General features: G+C 45.2%; 1 protein-coding gene across 2 annotated transcripts in view, besides 4 other annotated features; it reads right to left on the reverse strand.

The window, feature by feature from the left end:
• CDYL2 (chromodomain Y like 2) overlaps positions 1-12,662 on the reverse strand; it is a 207,131-nt gene extending 194,469 nt beyond the window's left edge. Inside the window, exon 1 of one of the 2 annotated variants that reach the window (XM_011522866.2) lies at positions 12,528-12,662. In XM_011522866.2, the coding sequence (XP_011521168.1) occupies positions 12,528-12,653 (126 nt within the window). In that variant the 5' untranslated portion in view covers positions 12,654-12,662. Of the gene's footprint in view, positions 1-11,774; positions 12,224-12,527 lie in introns of those variants that run through there. The other variant, NM_152342.4, reaches the window with a different exon arrangement.
• Positions 11,004-11,153: a silencer, noted in NCBI's record as "silent region_7744". NCBI's record gives its function as "represses an Ori minimal core promoter by ATAC-STARR-seq in GM12878 lymphoblastoid cells {active_cell/tissue: GM12878}" and the evidence as "EXISTENCE:reporter gene assay evidence [ECO:0000049][PMID:35858748]".
• Positions 11,434-11,503: a silencer, noted in NCBI's record as "silent region_7745". NCBI's record gives its function as "represses an Ori minimal core promoter by ATAC-STARR-seq in GM12878 lymphoblastoid cells {active_cell/tissue: GM12878}" and the evidence as "EXISTENCE:reporter gene assay evidence [ECO:0000049][PMID:35858748]".
• Positions 12,114-12,423: a silencer, noted in NCBI's record as "silent region_7746". NCBI's record gives its function as "represses an Ori minimal core promoter by ATAC-STARR-seq in GM12878 lymphoblastoid cells {active_cell/tissue: GM12878}" and the evidence as "EXISTENCE:reporter gene assay evidence [ECO:0000049][PMID:35858748]".
• Positions 12,444-12,503: a silencer, noted in NCBI's record as "silent region_7747". NCBI's record gives its function as "represses an Ori minimal core promoter by ATAC-STARR-seq in GM12878 lymphoblastoid cells {active_cell/tissue: GM12878}" and the evidence as "EXISTENCE:reporter gene assay evidence [ECO:0000049][PMID:35858748]".
• Positions 12,663-16,458: the final 3,796 nt, after the last annotated feature.

Genomic DNA, 16,458 nt, shown 5'->3' on the forward strand with positions numbered 1-16,458 from the left:
ATTTCAAGAACAAGAGGTGGCGACCCAAAAGAAGTCACAGCCTCTGAAATATTTACCTATACATGATCCTGTGCTGTGTGTTGCAATGGGGAGTCAAAGAAACCATAAGCATGCTCCTAACACATGGCCAGTCTATCAGTTCTCACACCCAGGCTGCAACAAGAAGCTGCAAATGACAAGTGATGTTTTCAAGGGAAGCACCAACAACCAAAAGTACAACCAAGGTGACAGGTGTGTTCTGGGGATCCAGAGTACAGAGACTCACCTACCAGTAAAGGGCAAGAAGGGATGGTGTCATGGATAACGTGATACTCCACCCAGGAGTATCACGTATCCACCCAGGAGTATCTCCTTTTCAGGGTCGATGTGCCCATCCCCACAGCTGCTAGGAATATCGCTGCTGTGCTGCCAAAAGCTCACAGATGTGTCCCTCAAAGGGAACTGCCCTCTGCCACAGGTAACTACTCCGCCCAAGTCTATACCCCTTCCCATGGAACAGCCTACCAGCAATGACTGGCCGACGCTGGGATATAAGGGCCCAGTTCCCTTGCCTCAATATGGGACATTTCTGAAGGGCCATTACAGCTCCAGAGCTGCCCATAGAATCAGCTGAGATCTTAGTTGTAACCTCAATGCAGAGCAGCTTCGCCATCTGTCCTAGCCTGCTTTCCACATTTCCTTACAAGTGTGTCTCCCAACAGCACTCTTCAGCAAACCCTCTGGACACAGTTCTCCATTCCAGAGTCCTTCTCCAAGCAACCCAATCTAAAACGGACAGTATATCTCAAACTAGGCCAGCCACTGAGGCTAGAGTAGAAAGGCAAAGGTGCAAATGGCAGAAGCAAATGCAAACCACAGGGCGGTCTTTGTGCGTGCTCAGTGTGAAAGGGCCTCTATCACATGCACACCTTAACAGAGAATGGCCACTCTCAATCCAGTCCTAACCTGTGATGAGGGACAATGGCTTAAATGTTTCAATTTGCTTTAAGGCACTTTTGTTACCTAATAAATCTATACAAGGTCTAGTGGAAGGCAAAATGGAAACCTGAATTTCAAGGACAATCTGAAAGAAAGTTCTTAGAAAACAGAGGGACTAATGCCATACAGGAAGCACTCAATGAAGTTCATTGCAGGAAGGCTAAGGTGGCCTGGAAGCATAGGTTTCAAACATTTTCAACCATTCATTCAATGAATATTTACTGAAAAGCTACAGGTCCAGCAAAGTGCCACAAGCTTGGAATACAACCTTGGATAATACAGACATGGTCCCTGCCCTCACCGAGCTTAGGGTTTAGCAGAACACAGTGGAGCTCAGCAATAGAACCATTTCCCTAACAATATGTTTCCAGGATCCCTAACACATAAAAATTGATACATAAAATAATTTCTCAGTGTAGATTTCTTTTGTAAGTTTAGCTTATGATACTTCCTTATCACTACATTAACTTCCGAGAATAATAAAGCCTGTTTTCACTAATAGCAAAATTTTTTAATGAGGCCCAAAGATGTCAGCTGCCTTCCCGTAACAGTCTCGGCAGTCAATTTCTTTCTGCATTTGGTTGTTTGTAAATAAAAACACAATCTTTGATTTGCTATGAAAGTAATTATAACTGGTATCGGGTGTGGTTTGACCATCTTGTCTTGGAATCTCAGGATATTCTTCATTCTAATTGATCCTGAAGTTTGAAATCAGAGAAGGAAATGTCTGTTTCATGTAGAAAAACCTCTAACACACAATATTGTCCCCATTCCTTCTCTCAAATTTGAGTCAGAGCAGAAGGAGCCAGTCTTCTCAATAAACCGCAACACTACCTTTAATACAATATAATGATACAAAGTGTTACACATTCCACTGTTATCACATACTGATTATTACACCATGTCTAGAACATTCACCAGCCTCCTCAACCTCAAGTGGTATTTGACTGGGGTGACTGTGCTGTAAAAGTGTATTCGCTCATTTAATTTTATGTGAGGAGACATGGATAGGCCTGAATTTTTCTAAGAACACTGAAGAACCACTGTTGCTGAAATAGTGCATTTACCAGAAGTTCCAATATATGTCAAAAATAGCGGAAAAAGCCATATTCTGAGGTATGCTCACCAAAAAAGGAACTGACATGGCTGCACCTTTTAACATATGGAAAACTTCAATGTGTTAAAAATATGGTATATTAAACCATATACGATTGTTGAGTTTTTTAATTATTACATTCCCAGTGATTTTTTTTTTTTTTTTTTTTTTTTTTTTTTGGGACAGAGTTCTGCTCTTGTTGCCCAGGCTGGAGTGCAATGGCGTGATCTCGGCTCACTGCAACCTCCACCTCCCAGGTTCAAGCGATTCTCCTGCCTCAGCCTCCTGAGCAGCTGGGATTACAGGCATGTGCCACCACACACCCGGCTAATTTTGTGTTTTTAGTAGAGACAGAGTTTCTCCATGTTGGTCAGGCTGGTCTCGAACTCCCGACCTCAGGTGATCCGCCCATCTTGGCCTCCCAAAGTGCTGGGAGTATAGGCATGAGCCACCGCATCCAGCCTCAGTGATAGTTTTAAAGGCATTCATGGCTGTAGCCCTAGTACCACCATAGTTCTAGGTCCACAGCTGACATAAAATAAAAATTTGACTGATGGATCATTAAACAAATGACTACTTTCAAATAAAATTCAAATCCGGCATTTGTATAAGTTCCCATGGCTTGTTAGTAAGGCCCCTTAGGACATAATTTTAAGAACACTGGACTAGAAGACAAGGTAATGAAAATCAAGGAGAAAAGTTCCCTGATCAAGAATTTGAGGGGAGGGCAGTGGCCTCTCAATAGAGGAATCTGTAGTATGGCAATGTGTAGCCCAGGGTCCCAGTCCCACAAACGTATCCCTCAAGTCTCCATGTTGAAACTTCTGTAAGTCACTTATAAATCAATGTGGTGATTGATCAACATGAAAATTCTGGGAGAGATGGAATGACTGGAGTCAAGTGGGAATAATTTGGCAGCGGTGGCCTTTATAAGAGAAACTGGGACATAAAATAAACAAATGGCCCTGCAAGCCTTCTCAGGAACCCATCGCTTTATAAAGTCCTGGTCAATGAATGGACCTTTCACTGGAGTGGTGTGACCTTTGGAGGTAGCAGCTTCTACTCGCTGGCTAAGGCTAACTGCACAACACAGAAGCATGACAATGAACTGAGGGAAGGGACAAGAAGGGGTGGATCAGGACCAAGAAGTGCTACTCCACAACCCCCACCATTCACCAACCTACCAGAGCCAGGGGCTGACTCCAGACAAGGATAAATTTCAGGCCCAGGATAGGCCTCTCCTCAAGGTCCAGCACCACCATGCCTGCCATCCTGAGCACTCCAGTGTGACAGAACACCCAGGCCTGGTTGAGTTCTTAGAGTTACCAGTTCTAGTCTAAGACCCAGAGCTCTACGCTTGCCCCTCATTACACATGCATACATGTGTGAGATGATGTGAGCTACTGAAATCAAGGCATTTATTTGAAGAAGTAATAGACTGAAACAGAAGAAGAGTTTTCAAAAATAGAAGAGATCTCATTTTATAGAAGTTCAAAAGATTAAAAGCTTTGTCTAGCCATACACTATTACCAAATGATGGAGTTGTGGACAACAACCCTAACTGCATCAGTCAGGATTCAACCAGAGAAGCAGAATCACTAGAATATATACATTAAGAGATTTAGTGCAAGGAATTATCTTACATAGTTGTGGGGCTGGCTAGTCAAGTCCAAAATCCATAGGCTAGATCATCAGGAAGAGCAAGTGGGAATACTTGGGCCCAGGCTAAAGCTGCTGTCCACATCTGGAATTTCTAGCTCTTCAGGGAAGCCTCAGTTCTAGTTTTGAGGCCTTTCAACTGATTGAGTCAGGACCATGAAGATTATTTAGGATAATCTCCCTTATTAAGTCAACTGATTATGAACTGTAATCAAATCTACAAAAGACCTTCACAGCAACACCTAGATTTTGACTGAGTAACTGGAGACTGGAGCCAGCCAAATTCACACATAAAACTGACCATCACATAACTTATCAATAGCACCATCATCTTCTTTCCACCTTAGCCCTCCTCACTAAATGCGGCTGCAACAAATTCTTAATGAACAAAATTTTTGTATGACTCCATTACGTATGTTCTACTTTTTTCTCCAATTAAAATTACTGAAGACATGAAACACATCTGTTATATGTCAGCAGGGCTTATGGAAAATCACCTCTTCTAAACATGTAGATCCAAAGTCTACACCACAATCTTTTGTTATCCAAGTCATCCAAAGGGGCAGAGAGTGTATAGAACTAGAAAAGTGGAGATGACTAATCCATTCTCCCACTTCACCCTGGATATCACATTCACTTTCTTTTTACTATCATGCCCAAGACTCTTAGAAGAGTTGCCCATACAAGATGTCTCTAAATCCAGAAGACCCAAACTCCTCGATTCCTCATCACACTGCAATCAAGCCATCCCTGACCCACCAACACACTCTATGGAATAGATGCACCCCAAGGTTACCAATGACTCACTGGTTATTAACTCCAAAGGACATTATTAACCATCCCCTCCTTCTTAAAATGCAATATTCCATTGCCTTCCATACCAGCAACACCTCTTTTTTTTCTACCTCTCTTGCTACCCCTTGTACATCTGACCTTATTTCTCTTCTTCCATCTCTAAAATGTCCACTTTCTCCATCACAAGACCCCTCCTCATGTTTACACACTGTTTTTTGGCTTTAATTATAATCTACATACTAATTATTCCCAATCCCTATCGCCATGTCAAATAGTGCTCCTGAGCTTCAGGCACACACAACTTGCTGCTGTGGACGTCTGTACCTGGATGTTCAACAAACACTCCAAACTCACTGTCCTTTCCACTCCCTCCACTCCCTCCAACCAATGCTCATCCTTGGCTCCACCATCCACCTAATGGACTAGAATGGAAGCCTGGAAATTATACCTTAACTCTTGTCTTTCCCTCAATCCCTACAGACCATCAATCAAGTTTTATTTCAGGAGGGGAGGGGAAACTGCAGCTGAAAATTACACTTTCAGCTACATGTGACCACATAACTATCTTCAGGCCAGTAGAAGAAAGCAGGATTGTATGGAACTTCCAGACAGCTGTTTATGGAGAGAATACTCAACTTTCACCCTTCTATCCTTACCTTTTTTTTTCCAGCATACCTGGTACTCTCAGAATGTCATAGAACATATCATATCAATCAACCCTGGTACTGCCTAACTCCAAAGTTTATTTCATGTAAAATAAACCTGTTTTAAACCACTGTTATTGTACATTTTCCATTATATGCCACCAAACATAAGCTTGACTGATATACCAAATGTTGATTCTTTTTCAACCTTTCAATTGCATCCATTCCACTCCATCGCCATTACCACTCCCTTAGTTCAAGCCACCATCATCTTGTTTCAATTATTGAAACAGCACATTAACTGGCTGCCCTACTTCTATTCTTCCTCTAATCTAATCCACTGTTAACTTTGAAGGACAATCTGGGAATATGTATCAACAGCATTAAAAACGTTACCATTCATCAAACTACAGTTGACCCTTGAACAAAAGAGTTTGAATTGTGCAGGGGTTTGTCTTGCTTTTTTGTTTTGTTGTTGTTGTTGTTTGTTTGTTTTTTGTTTTTTGCTTTTGAGACAGAGCCTCACTCTGTCACCCAGGCTGGAGTGCAGTGGTGTGATCTCAGCTAACTGCAACCTCTGCCTTCCAGACTCAAGCAATCCCCCAACCTCAGCCTCCTGAGTAGCTGGAACTACAAACACATACCATCATGCCCAATAATTTTCTGTATTCTTTTAGTAGAGATGGGGTTTCTCCATGTCACCCAGGCTGGTCTAGAATTCCTGGGCTCAAGCTATCCACCTGCCTTGGCCTCCCACAGTGCTGGGATTACAGGCATGAGCCACAGTGCCCGGCCTGTGCAGGTCATTTATAGGCAGATTTCCTTCTGCTTCTGCTATCCCTGAGACCACAAGGACAACCCCTCCCCTTCCTCCTCCTCCTCCTCAGTCTACACAATGGGAATGCCATGAAGATGGAAGACTTTTATGATTATCTACTTCACTTAATGAACAGAAAATATATTTTCTATTCCTTATGATTTTTCTTAATAAAATTTTCTCCACTTTAGCTTACTTTATTGTAAGAATAGAGTATATACTACATATAACATACAAATATATGTTCATCAACTGTTTATGTTATCAGTAAGACTTCCAGTCAACAGTATGCTACTAGTAGTTAAGTTTCTGGGAAGTCAAAAGTTATATGTGAATTTTCAACATCAAAGGGGATCAGTGCCCCTAATCCAAGTATTGTCCAACGGCCAACTTTATACAGCAATTTCACTGTATATGAAATTGTTTATGCTGAAGAAACTAGTAAGATATGCAAATACATAATTGTGTTTATGGATGTTCATAACATCAATATTTATAATGGTTTACAAATGGAAACTATCTAGATGTCCGATAACAGGGGATTAGTTATAGAAAACATGGTACATTCAAGGGAAAATTAAACTGTCATTTAAAACTCATAACACAAAATAATATTTTAGCATTTGAGAAAATGCTTACCTACATTATCTATATATAGATATATATAGATATATAGATATTTAAGTGAAAATAAAATAGGTTACAAAGAATATGTACCCAGTATCCCGATTTGGTTTTTTTAAATTACATAAACATGTGTAGAAAACAAACCCAGTCCTACTTTTGTAACTACCCCCAAAAGCTAACATTTTAATTAATTCAGATATCACATTAGTATTTATTGAACATCAATTACATGCTAAATATATAACAATAGTTCTCTTAGATATTATTTCTTTTTTGCTTTCATTTTTTAGAGATGCTTTCAAAAACAGAAAAGATAATATTCTCAAGCAACTCCTAGAGAACACCATCATCCCTATTAACACTTCCCCACTGTACCGTAAAATACTTGTTTTCTTAACTATATCTCCCACTGGGCTCCTGGAGGACGTGATCATCATTGTTCCCCAAGTGCCTCTCATATATTTGGTGGTCTATAAATATGAAATAACAAATGAATGATGGTGCTATGAATTCAACCACACCCACACTTCTTTTCACCATCTGAGAGAAACAGAAGGATCCAAATCTTGGTAATCTAAATGCATGCCTCCAATACAAAGATCTTTAATAATCACCAGGCCTGAACCACTTCTTAGCAATTGGCCAGGCTGCAAGGAGCCGTATCAACTCCTTACTAGGACAGCTTAAGCCCCTGAAGAAATTATCTCATGCACTAAGGAATGACCTGACATAAAAGCCTACTTGAAAATAAGCTGATGCCTGCCCAGAGGGAATAATTTAAAATAACTTTCAAGAGGTGGGAGAATCATATACTCATTCCATATTCATCAGGTGTCTTCTACGTGCCCAAGAATCAATCCAATCCAACTGATAACATTTTCTCTGAAGATAGCTGCCTCTTCAAATACTGGTACAGAGATTCAAGAAGCTGTACCACAGACCATCAGTTCTGCTAGTACATGTATTTCTTTGACAGGAATGACCTCAGGTGTGATTCGTAAATAGAGGAATGACGTCTGTGTGGGTTCATATGCAGTTTTTCCTAGCTTGTTTATACTTTGCAGCAATCAAGGTAAGCACTCTCACAGGGAAAGAGAAAGACTTAACAATGTGTGAAGACCTCAGAACAAAGCTGGAAATGCACTCAAGTGCCTTTCTTTAACATGAATAGTGGCTGATTTTCTAGCTTCAAGAACCACTATGCTTTCCACTATGTTGACCTCATGGCAAAACTGCAAGAACAGCTATGAAAACATTTCTCCTTATACAGATAAACGAAGAAGGCTACACCCTGGATCAGACTTAATTTCAATAAAATCGTCTCTCTTAGAAGCAAATGCCCTGTGCAATCCACAGAGACAAGAGGGAAGCAAAGCTCAATGTGGACACGGCAAAGGCTAGACCAACTTGCAAAAAAAGTTCCACAGCTCTTTAGCGGTCTGCCTCAATCCTGTTTTTCCCATAAACTCTGTTATTCTTAGTGGTGCGTGATTTTGCAGAATGCCAGGTGCAGATAGAGTCAGCCCTCCATATCCATGGGTTCCACATCTGTGGATTCAACCAACCACAAACCGAAAAGATCCAAAAAAAAATGGATAGTTGTGGACACTTCCCTACAGAGAGAGAACTGAGCCACCCCTACACACGGTTTTACCACCACCAAGAGGCCATGAGCTTGGGAAAGAAAAAGACAATAGAGGGTAACACTCAACAGAAGGACAACGAAGGTCACACAAGGGTACTTTATATACTTAAACCAGTCTTCTGCTCACTGATTCAGTCAACAAGTAATTGAACGTACAAGCAGGTAGAAACCCAGAGAGAGACAAGAAAACTGAGAGCCTATCCCACTGATTATTTCTTCCTGACACCCAAACATCTTAGCAAAAGATTGACTAGAATCAGGTTGCAAACTCTAAAGTCTACTGGAGCCCAGTGAATGATTTAAGAAGAATGGGTGCCTGGTAATAGGGAGCAAGGGGACAGGGACAAGCTAGAGATCATATGCTCCATCTAAAAGTGTTCAAATCGTTTTTCTTATCTACCATTGAGCCAAGTCAAAATGCGTATGCAGCCTAGACCTGGCTCACAGGCTGCCACTCCATGGCCCCTATGTTTAGCCGAATATAGACCAGGGCATCTGGCTAAGAAATTTCACTTTCGATCCAGACAGATACCTGACTCTAAGACATAACCCAAAATTTAAAATCACCTTCCTATAAGTGATGGCTACAATGCACCAGAAGATGATGAGAACTCCACTACAGGAGAAACAAACCAGAACTATCTATCAAGATCCAAGATTTTGGAACCTGAGCTTGATTTCTTATTTCTTCACTATGATTGAAGAGTGCTATTACATAAACAAAGTTTTCGTTTTCTGGTGTCTTTAAAAATCAGCACCTATTCCTAACAACTGCTTTATGGAGGTTCACTCTTTACAACTTAATTGTCTGAAATGCCAAAGAAAAGATGAAGAATCTCTACAATCCAAATCACACTTCACCATAAAGGCTCAAAGATAATGTCAGCAGACACACAGGTGAAATATATCAATTACAAACGTAAGAACTCTTGGCCCACTAAAAACGTGGTTTCTTGAGTAGAGATTGCGAGAAGCCATTTTATGTACACTTTAGTATAATATTTAATGAAAGTAATAAACAGGTCTCATAATTTAGAATGAAATCTGTTTTCTTTTTTTCCTTTCAAGGCCAGTCAACATACACTGGATATTCCAATATTTTTCTTAAATCAATATGCTACTTTTTACCCACATAACAACTTTACAGTCAGAAATATATATGCTAATGTACACTTAGCACTTCTTAATTGTTCTTAAAGCTAAATTTGAACAATAAATTAAATTTCTCAGTATATGTTATGTAATGTAGACACAGGCTATAAAAATGTTGACATTCGTTATATTCTCGTAATGCAATTTAGCCCTTTTAGTAATGACTATGCAAATAATCAGCCATGGGAAAGCCATTTTCCATCTAGTACAATTACCTACTATCACAGAAGTAATTATTATTATTGTCCTCCTTAACTGAAATTCTATAAAAACTCTTGAGATACTAAGATAGTTCCAAGGCCACCGTGAAAACTCTCCTCTTAACAGACTAATCTGGCAACGACAATTACCAGCGTTAAGGAGGGCAGTTGCAGATGAACATTAAACAAGAAATTATCCCCAGAAGGTTCATAAGTTCTAAACTTTAAATGGGGAAATACTGATGACTCCTAGTACATCCTCTTAACACCTTCAAGACACAACTTTTCACTCAGGCAAGGTCAACAGCTCTAAGCTGACTCAACCTCAATTCGTAGAAAACCATGATTCCAACCAGATCACTTTCACCCCTAAACAATATCTACTTTTAGCCAATGTCCCCACAGTACTGGTTACACATAAGGAAACTCAATCAAACCTTCTATTTTACTGTGCTTCAATTTTCAATTTCAGAAATTGTTCCACCATCTTGAAACAGACCAAGGCGCTTGGGTGATCCATTGGCCACATTTGCCGAAGTTCTTCACAAGATCTCTATCCAACTTCACCTTGTCTCTTAGCATAGAGATGAGGACGGCCACAGGGTAGTGAAGAGGGCAACATACACCATTCTTTCAAGGAGCTCTAAGGTCTCCCACCCACCCCACCTGAACCTGCTGGCCGGCAGTCCAGGCCTGGGCCTCACCAACTCCAGAATCATTCACAAGAACATGGTCACACAGGAGACCTGTGCTCCTTTCTCCATTCTTCTTCTCTAACGCCAGTCAGCAAACCCACCACCTGAAAAAGCTTCAACTGCCCACGAGGGCCTAGAGGAAAGAGCTTCTTAGGAATCACCCCCTGCAGTCTGTCGTGGGTGGATCACCCTACAATGTCTTATGCAAAAGGCTAATTCTACCCCTTCTGGGTGCTTATCTCAATGGAGCCCCAAAGCCTTAAGAACCAGATGGCGTTAACCAATTTATGTTCCGGGAAGTGCAGGTCCAGGCTAACCCATGCGGCTGGTTTCACGGAGGCCCAGAAGGCCCTCTGGTTGAAGATGGCTGGTCTCTTAACTTCTTTATCCTGAACCTGGTCTTGGCGGCCAACACCTCTGAGGCCATTCCCTCTGGGGAGTGGTGGCTGGCTGTTCCTTGTGTTGTCCACTTGTGGAAAACCCAAAGCAGTAACAGTTGTGTTCCTAAGCCCTTGCTCCCCAAAGACCATGGGTGTTCCTCCATTGTTTGAAAGATGCCAGACTAATGTCTTCCTTCGCCACTTTTGGGAAGACATGAGAGTATCCAACGCTGGCCACTACTCATTAGGACCTGGAGCCAGGTATCCACTGAGGGTGACGAGAGTACTGGGCGCTGGGCTGGCATCTGTGTCCTATGTCCCCAACACCTCAGACTTCCACGTTCTCCTCCCACCCAGGGCCCTCCGCAGCGCCCCCTTTCGCCCCCAGGGAGCACGACACCCGCAAGGGCCACCCCCACGCCCGAGCCCGGAGGGCGTCCGAGCTGGTGCGGGGGCAGCAGGTGGGGGGTGAGGGAGGTGGCCCGGGGACCCCGGGGAGCGGTTTGGCGGTTGTCCCCCCGAACCCCCACCCAGCCTCCCCCTTCGCAGCCCCCCGGGACCCCGCCTCGCCCCGGCCAGGCTCCGCTCCGATCGCCCGCCCCCCTCCTCCCCCGCGCCCCCGGCCCAGCCGGGCCGCGCAACCCCCGCCCCACACCCCCGCCGGCCGCGGCGCGCCCCCCCGCATTCCCAGCACGTCCGGCGCCGACTTTTACCTGTACTTTCTGTACTCGAGGCGGCTCGTCGGGCGAGAAACACCTCCCCGGGACCGCTACCTCCCCCGCCCCGGCTCCGCCCGGCTTCCTCCTTCCCCTCCAAGGCCGCAAAGTAGATGGAGTAAGAGAGTGTGTGTGCGAGAGAAAGAGAAAGAGGGAGCGGGCGCGGGCGCCGCGGGAGGCGGCGGGCGGCGGGCGGCGGGCGGGAGGCGCGCCCGGCCCCCGCCACCCTCCGGCCGCCGCCGCCGCCGCCGCGGGCTCGGCAACTCCGGATTGCGCCCGGCCCCGGCCCCGGCCCGGTCCCCGCCGCCCGCCGCCGCCGCCCGCCGCCGCCCGCTGACTGGGGCCGGCCCGCGCCCCCGCGTCCCCGTACCTCGTAAAGGTCCCCAGAAGCCATGCCAGGCTGCGGAACTTGGCTCGCCGGTGTGCGCGTCTGCTCGCTCGCGCCCTCCGTGCGTGTGCGCGCGGGGTCCGGTGTGCGCGTGTGTGTGCGCGCGTGTGTGTGCGAGTGTGTGTGGTGTGTTGAGTAAACTGTGTTTTTGCAGAATGACAGGCTTGGGGGCTGCCTATGCGCAGAATCAGAGCGGGCGGCGGCGGGGCTGGCGTAACCGGCAGCAGCGGCGGCGGCGGCGGCGGCGGCACGAGCGCGGGCAGCAGCGACGGCCGCGCAGCGCGCCCGGGAGGCACGGACGCGGCCCGAGCGCCGCGGCCCCCGCGACCCGGCGACCCGGCGGCGGTGGCTGCAGCCGGCAACGGCTCGCCCCGGCGCCGCCTGCAGGAAGCCGCCCGGCGCCCGCCGCCGGCCCGGACGCTGCTGCCACTGGGCGAGTCCCCGCCCCCCGGGAGCCCGGCCCGGCCCCCGGGGCGGGGAGGCGGGGGCTGCTGCCCGGCCGCGCCCCGGGGGACCGGTCCCAGAGTCGACTAGCGCTCGGGCCCGCCCCGCCACCCCGGGCCGGCTTCGGGAGCAGCTGGCGGGGCCCCCGGGGGGCGGCGGGCCAGGTGCCCGCCGGGTGCGCCCGATCTGGGGCCGCGAAGGGGCGGCCGGGGAGCCAGGTAGAGGGCTGCGGCTGCAGACCTCAGGGAAGGGGCCCCAGCCGAGCCCCGCCGGCCCGGGGTCCCCACCTACCTCCTCCACCCTCGAGGGGAGTGGACGCCGCCTGGGAGACCTGGCCCCTCGGGGCTGCGCGGCCCCTCCCTCCAGGCTGGGTTGTAAGATGTGGAGGCCACAGGGAGGAAGGATGAAATGGCCCATCCAGAGGCACCATGGGGATCCAGGACAGGCGTGGCCACCCCATAAACCCTGGAAAGTCTTTAGAGCCAGGGGTGGCCTTCCCTCAACAACCCCTCTCCCCGAATTTATTCACTCATCCCTTACTCAAACATTTACCAAAGTCAACCCAAGTGCACAGTGTCCCTGGACAGGCAAAACTGGGACCCTGCCCAGAGACAGTTTGAATCCGCAAGTGAGGAGTGTAATGGAGCACTCAGTTGTTCTAAAAGGTCATCCTGCGTGTGACAGGCTGCGGAGCTGGAGGAGCTAGAGAAGCTCTCCAAAACCCAAATCCGTTCCTAAGCCATCTCTCATGGATAAATGGTCACCCCTCTGCTTAAAGGGTTCTCCTTATAAATATTTATGTATATAGTTACTTCAGAACCTGCAAGGTCAGACTTCTGAAATTGGAGGGAAGATCTTCATCCCCACCCATGAAATGCCTGCCTGGCTCCAGATGTGATGTATCATTAACTCACATGCTCCCTGGATCATTTTCTACTTGGGAGGCTGTGGGCAGGTCACCGAACCCTGATGGGAGATGGTGATAGTCACCTAAGTGATTTAAATAGAATTAAGGAGAGGATCTACGTATACATGAAGTGACCTGTCCATCCCAGCAGAACTCAATAAAGGTGATTTGTATCTGAGTCTCAACCTGGACTGCCCTCATGGAGAGTGAGATGGCAGAGGGGCTCGATAAATTGTTTAATCCTGAGGTTGTCAAACTTTGAAAAGTCACCAAATTTTTTAATCCAAAAAAAAAAAAAAAAAAAAAAAACTCCATGGAACCTGAAGCATGTCTGGCTCATTCCAGGACACATGGATTTGCATTTGCTGTTCCCCCTGCCTAGAATGTCCTTCCACATTGAATCCATCTGGAACATTCTTGTTCTTCGTATAGGGGCTTGTTTATCTTTGTATCGCAAGCATCTTCCACTGTTCCTGAGAGAGAGTAGGTACACAGTGATTGTTTTTCGAACTATGCCAATATAACAAATTTTATACCAATTTCTAGTTAAAATCCCGCATGAAGATAAGGAAAAAATGGTGAGGATAAGGAATTAATAAATCAGAAAGCATATTTGGCTTAGAAACTGTTGAAATTGTTATAGAACTTCTCTCTTCATATTGATATTTTCCCGGTGGTCATGGTTTTAAATAATAACAGTAATAATAAGCAGTTCTCTATCTGTAGGTAGCTAAACAAATTTTAATGAGTCTTAATTTGTACTCACGAATAAATGCACCACCATAGCATGAGGATGTAATTTGGAAGAAGACAAGAAGGAAACTGGGCTTGGAAATAATATACTAAGCCAAATTTGAATATATAATCAGTAGTTTTACAAAAACACCAAAAGCTTGACTTGTACTGGCCAAGTACTCCCTGAGAATGTGAGTGCAGTTTGAAAAACCCTAGTCTAGACAACAGTTGTTTACAGAGTTCACAGAAGAGGATACTTAGTGTGGATGACCATGCTCAGGAAATGTTTTAGGACTGAAATGGATCTTGAAGACTCATAGAAAAGGAAGGACAGTGTTTTCCGTGAGGAGAAGAAGTCAGAGTAGATGGTAAGCAATTCTGCTATGGGAAGGGTATGAGAAGATTGGAGGACTGGTTTATGGAGGTCACAGGACCCTGGATGGTGAATGTGGGTCAGTTCGGAGATAGTCTTGAAAGCCAAGCTAAGAAGTTTGCTATTTAGTAGGTCAACAGTGGAGAAACTGATGAAGACTTTTGAATCAATCAAAAGCATGTGACTATCAAAAGTGCACTGTAGAAAACAAATTCTAGAAGAAATATGGGAAATCAACTGCAGGGTTTGAGGTTAGGGGCAGGGAGACCAATTGCAATGGTCCCTGGTGTTAGCAGTGGAAATGAAGAAGAAAAATGGGATTTGCGAGATGTTCAGAAGGAAGAACCAGGCTAACTTTCATTATGGTTACTCCACCTACTTCCATGAAGCATTCGATTCAGATCAACAGGACTTGATGACTAACAGGATGTGTGTGCATTGAGGACTTGGGGAGGGGCCGCGACTAAGGAAAGGATACAGAGATGACTAAGGTTTTAAACTGAGTGACTGAGCTACCCATCCGTCATAACACAATTTTATTTTGAGCTTACCCCCAGACCATGGCTAGCTTCCAGAAAAGGCAGGTGCTTCCTGAGGGATGAAGGGGGGAAGGGTCTTCACCCACTGTAGGAAGTTCAGCCCAACCAATTAACAGTGAGGCTCTAGGTTCTCCAGATGATAGAGAACTAGTGTTGCTCATGGAGAATGGAAGATAGCTGCCATCTTCCACAAACTGTGGTAGACTATTCATATTGGTCGTAACTCAAGATGAACTGATAGAAAGCTCTAACTTAAAACAACAGAGTATTTCCTGACTCATATAGACTAGAAAAGGATGGAATTGCTCTCAGGATTGGCCGGATTCAAGGTATGAAAGGATACAAAATAGCCTCTCTTACTCTCTCCTTCTTTCTGCATGCTGGTATCTTTCCTGCTGAAGACAGGCTTCTTCCATGCAGCTGAGAATATGGCACCTGGCCACTCACCTGGGCTTATGCCTTATACAGTATTTCTAAATCCCAGGGAAGGACTCTATTGGGCCAATGTAGCTCATATGCTGTCTTACTGGTCCAATCACCATAGTCAATAACTGATAGGACACTATGATTGGCCAGGCTTAAGTCATACTCCTATCTATGGGAACAATATGACAATTGGCAGTTTTACCAGAATTACATGATGGGAATCGGGTCTGAGCAGAAGCCTAAAGGAATGGTGGAAGGAATACTGAAACGGTAGGTGTTTACGCCAAAACAAATCTGAGACAGAAAGGGAACTTAGAAGCAAGGGCAGTAGCTGCCTGGAACACGGCCTTTTTAATATAATAGAGCAAGACCAGCAAGTGTAATGTCCAAGGAAAGATCGTATCCACTGCCTTAACAGTGGCATTGAAATGTGGCAATATTCTCCTTCCGGTATTACTTGAGACATAATCTTGACCTCCTGTATCCTGTGGTGGCTGAACATGTGGGCTCCAGAGGCAGATGGCCTGGGTTCCAATTCTTGCATCATCACTACTAGATATCTGGTGTCAGCCTCTTTGTTTAACCTCTCTACCCTTCCATTTCCAAATGTATGTGTTATTTATTACTGCATGATGAATTATCCCCAAAACTTAATGGTTTTAAACAAAAGGTTTTTCTAATTTCACAGTTTGTGTGGGTTGTGGATTTGACAGCAACTTAACTGGGGGTGGTTCTGGCTCAGGATCTCTTGTGAGATTGCAGTCAAAATGCTTGCTAGGACTGCATTGACCTGAAGGGTTGGCTGGGCTGGAGAATCCACCTCCAAGATGGCACCCTCATATGGCTGTTGGCAGGAGGCCTAAGCTCCTAGCCACATGGGTCTCTCCATAAAGTTGCTTGAGTGTTCTCATGTCATTCTGATCTTGGCCCCCCAAATCCAACAAAATGAAGCAAAACTGTCAAAGCTTCAACTCTTTCTAGCACAGAGCAGCTAACGAATCTGATGTTATAGTCCATGCTAAGAAGACTATTTGATGCACAGATGATTTACGACATGTCAGGTTGGATAACTGGAGATGTTATCTGATCCACACACCTCACTTTGAAGATGGAAAAACCAAGACCCACATTGGGTGATCCGAGAGAGAGAGCAAGGAGGAAGTCACAATGCCTTTGAATATCTCATCTTAGACACCAAACATAGTCACTTATTCTATTCTTTAGAACTGAACCACTAAGCCA

Source organism: Homo sapiens, chromosome 16, assembly GCF_000001405.40.
Source record: "Homo sapiens chromosome 16, GRCh38.p14 Primary Assembly".
NCBI lineage: Eukaryota > Metazoa > Chordata > Mammalia > Primates > Hominidae > Homo > Homo sapiens.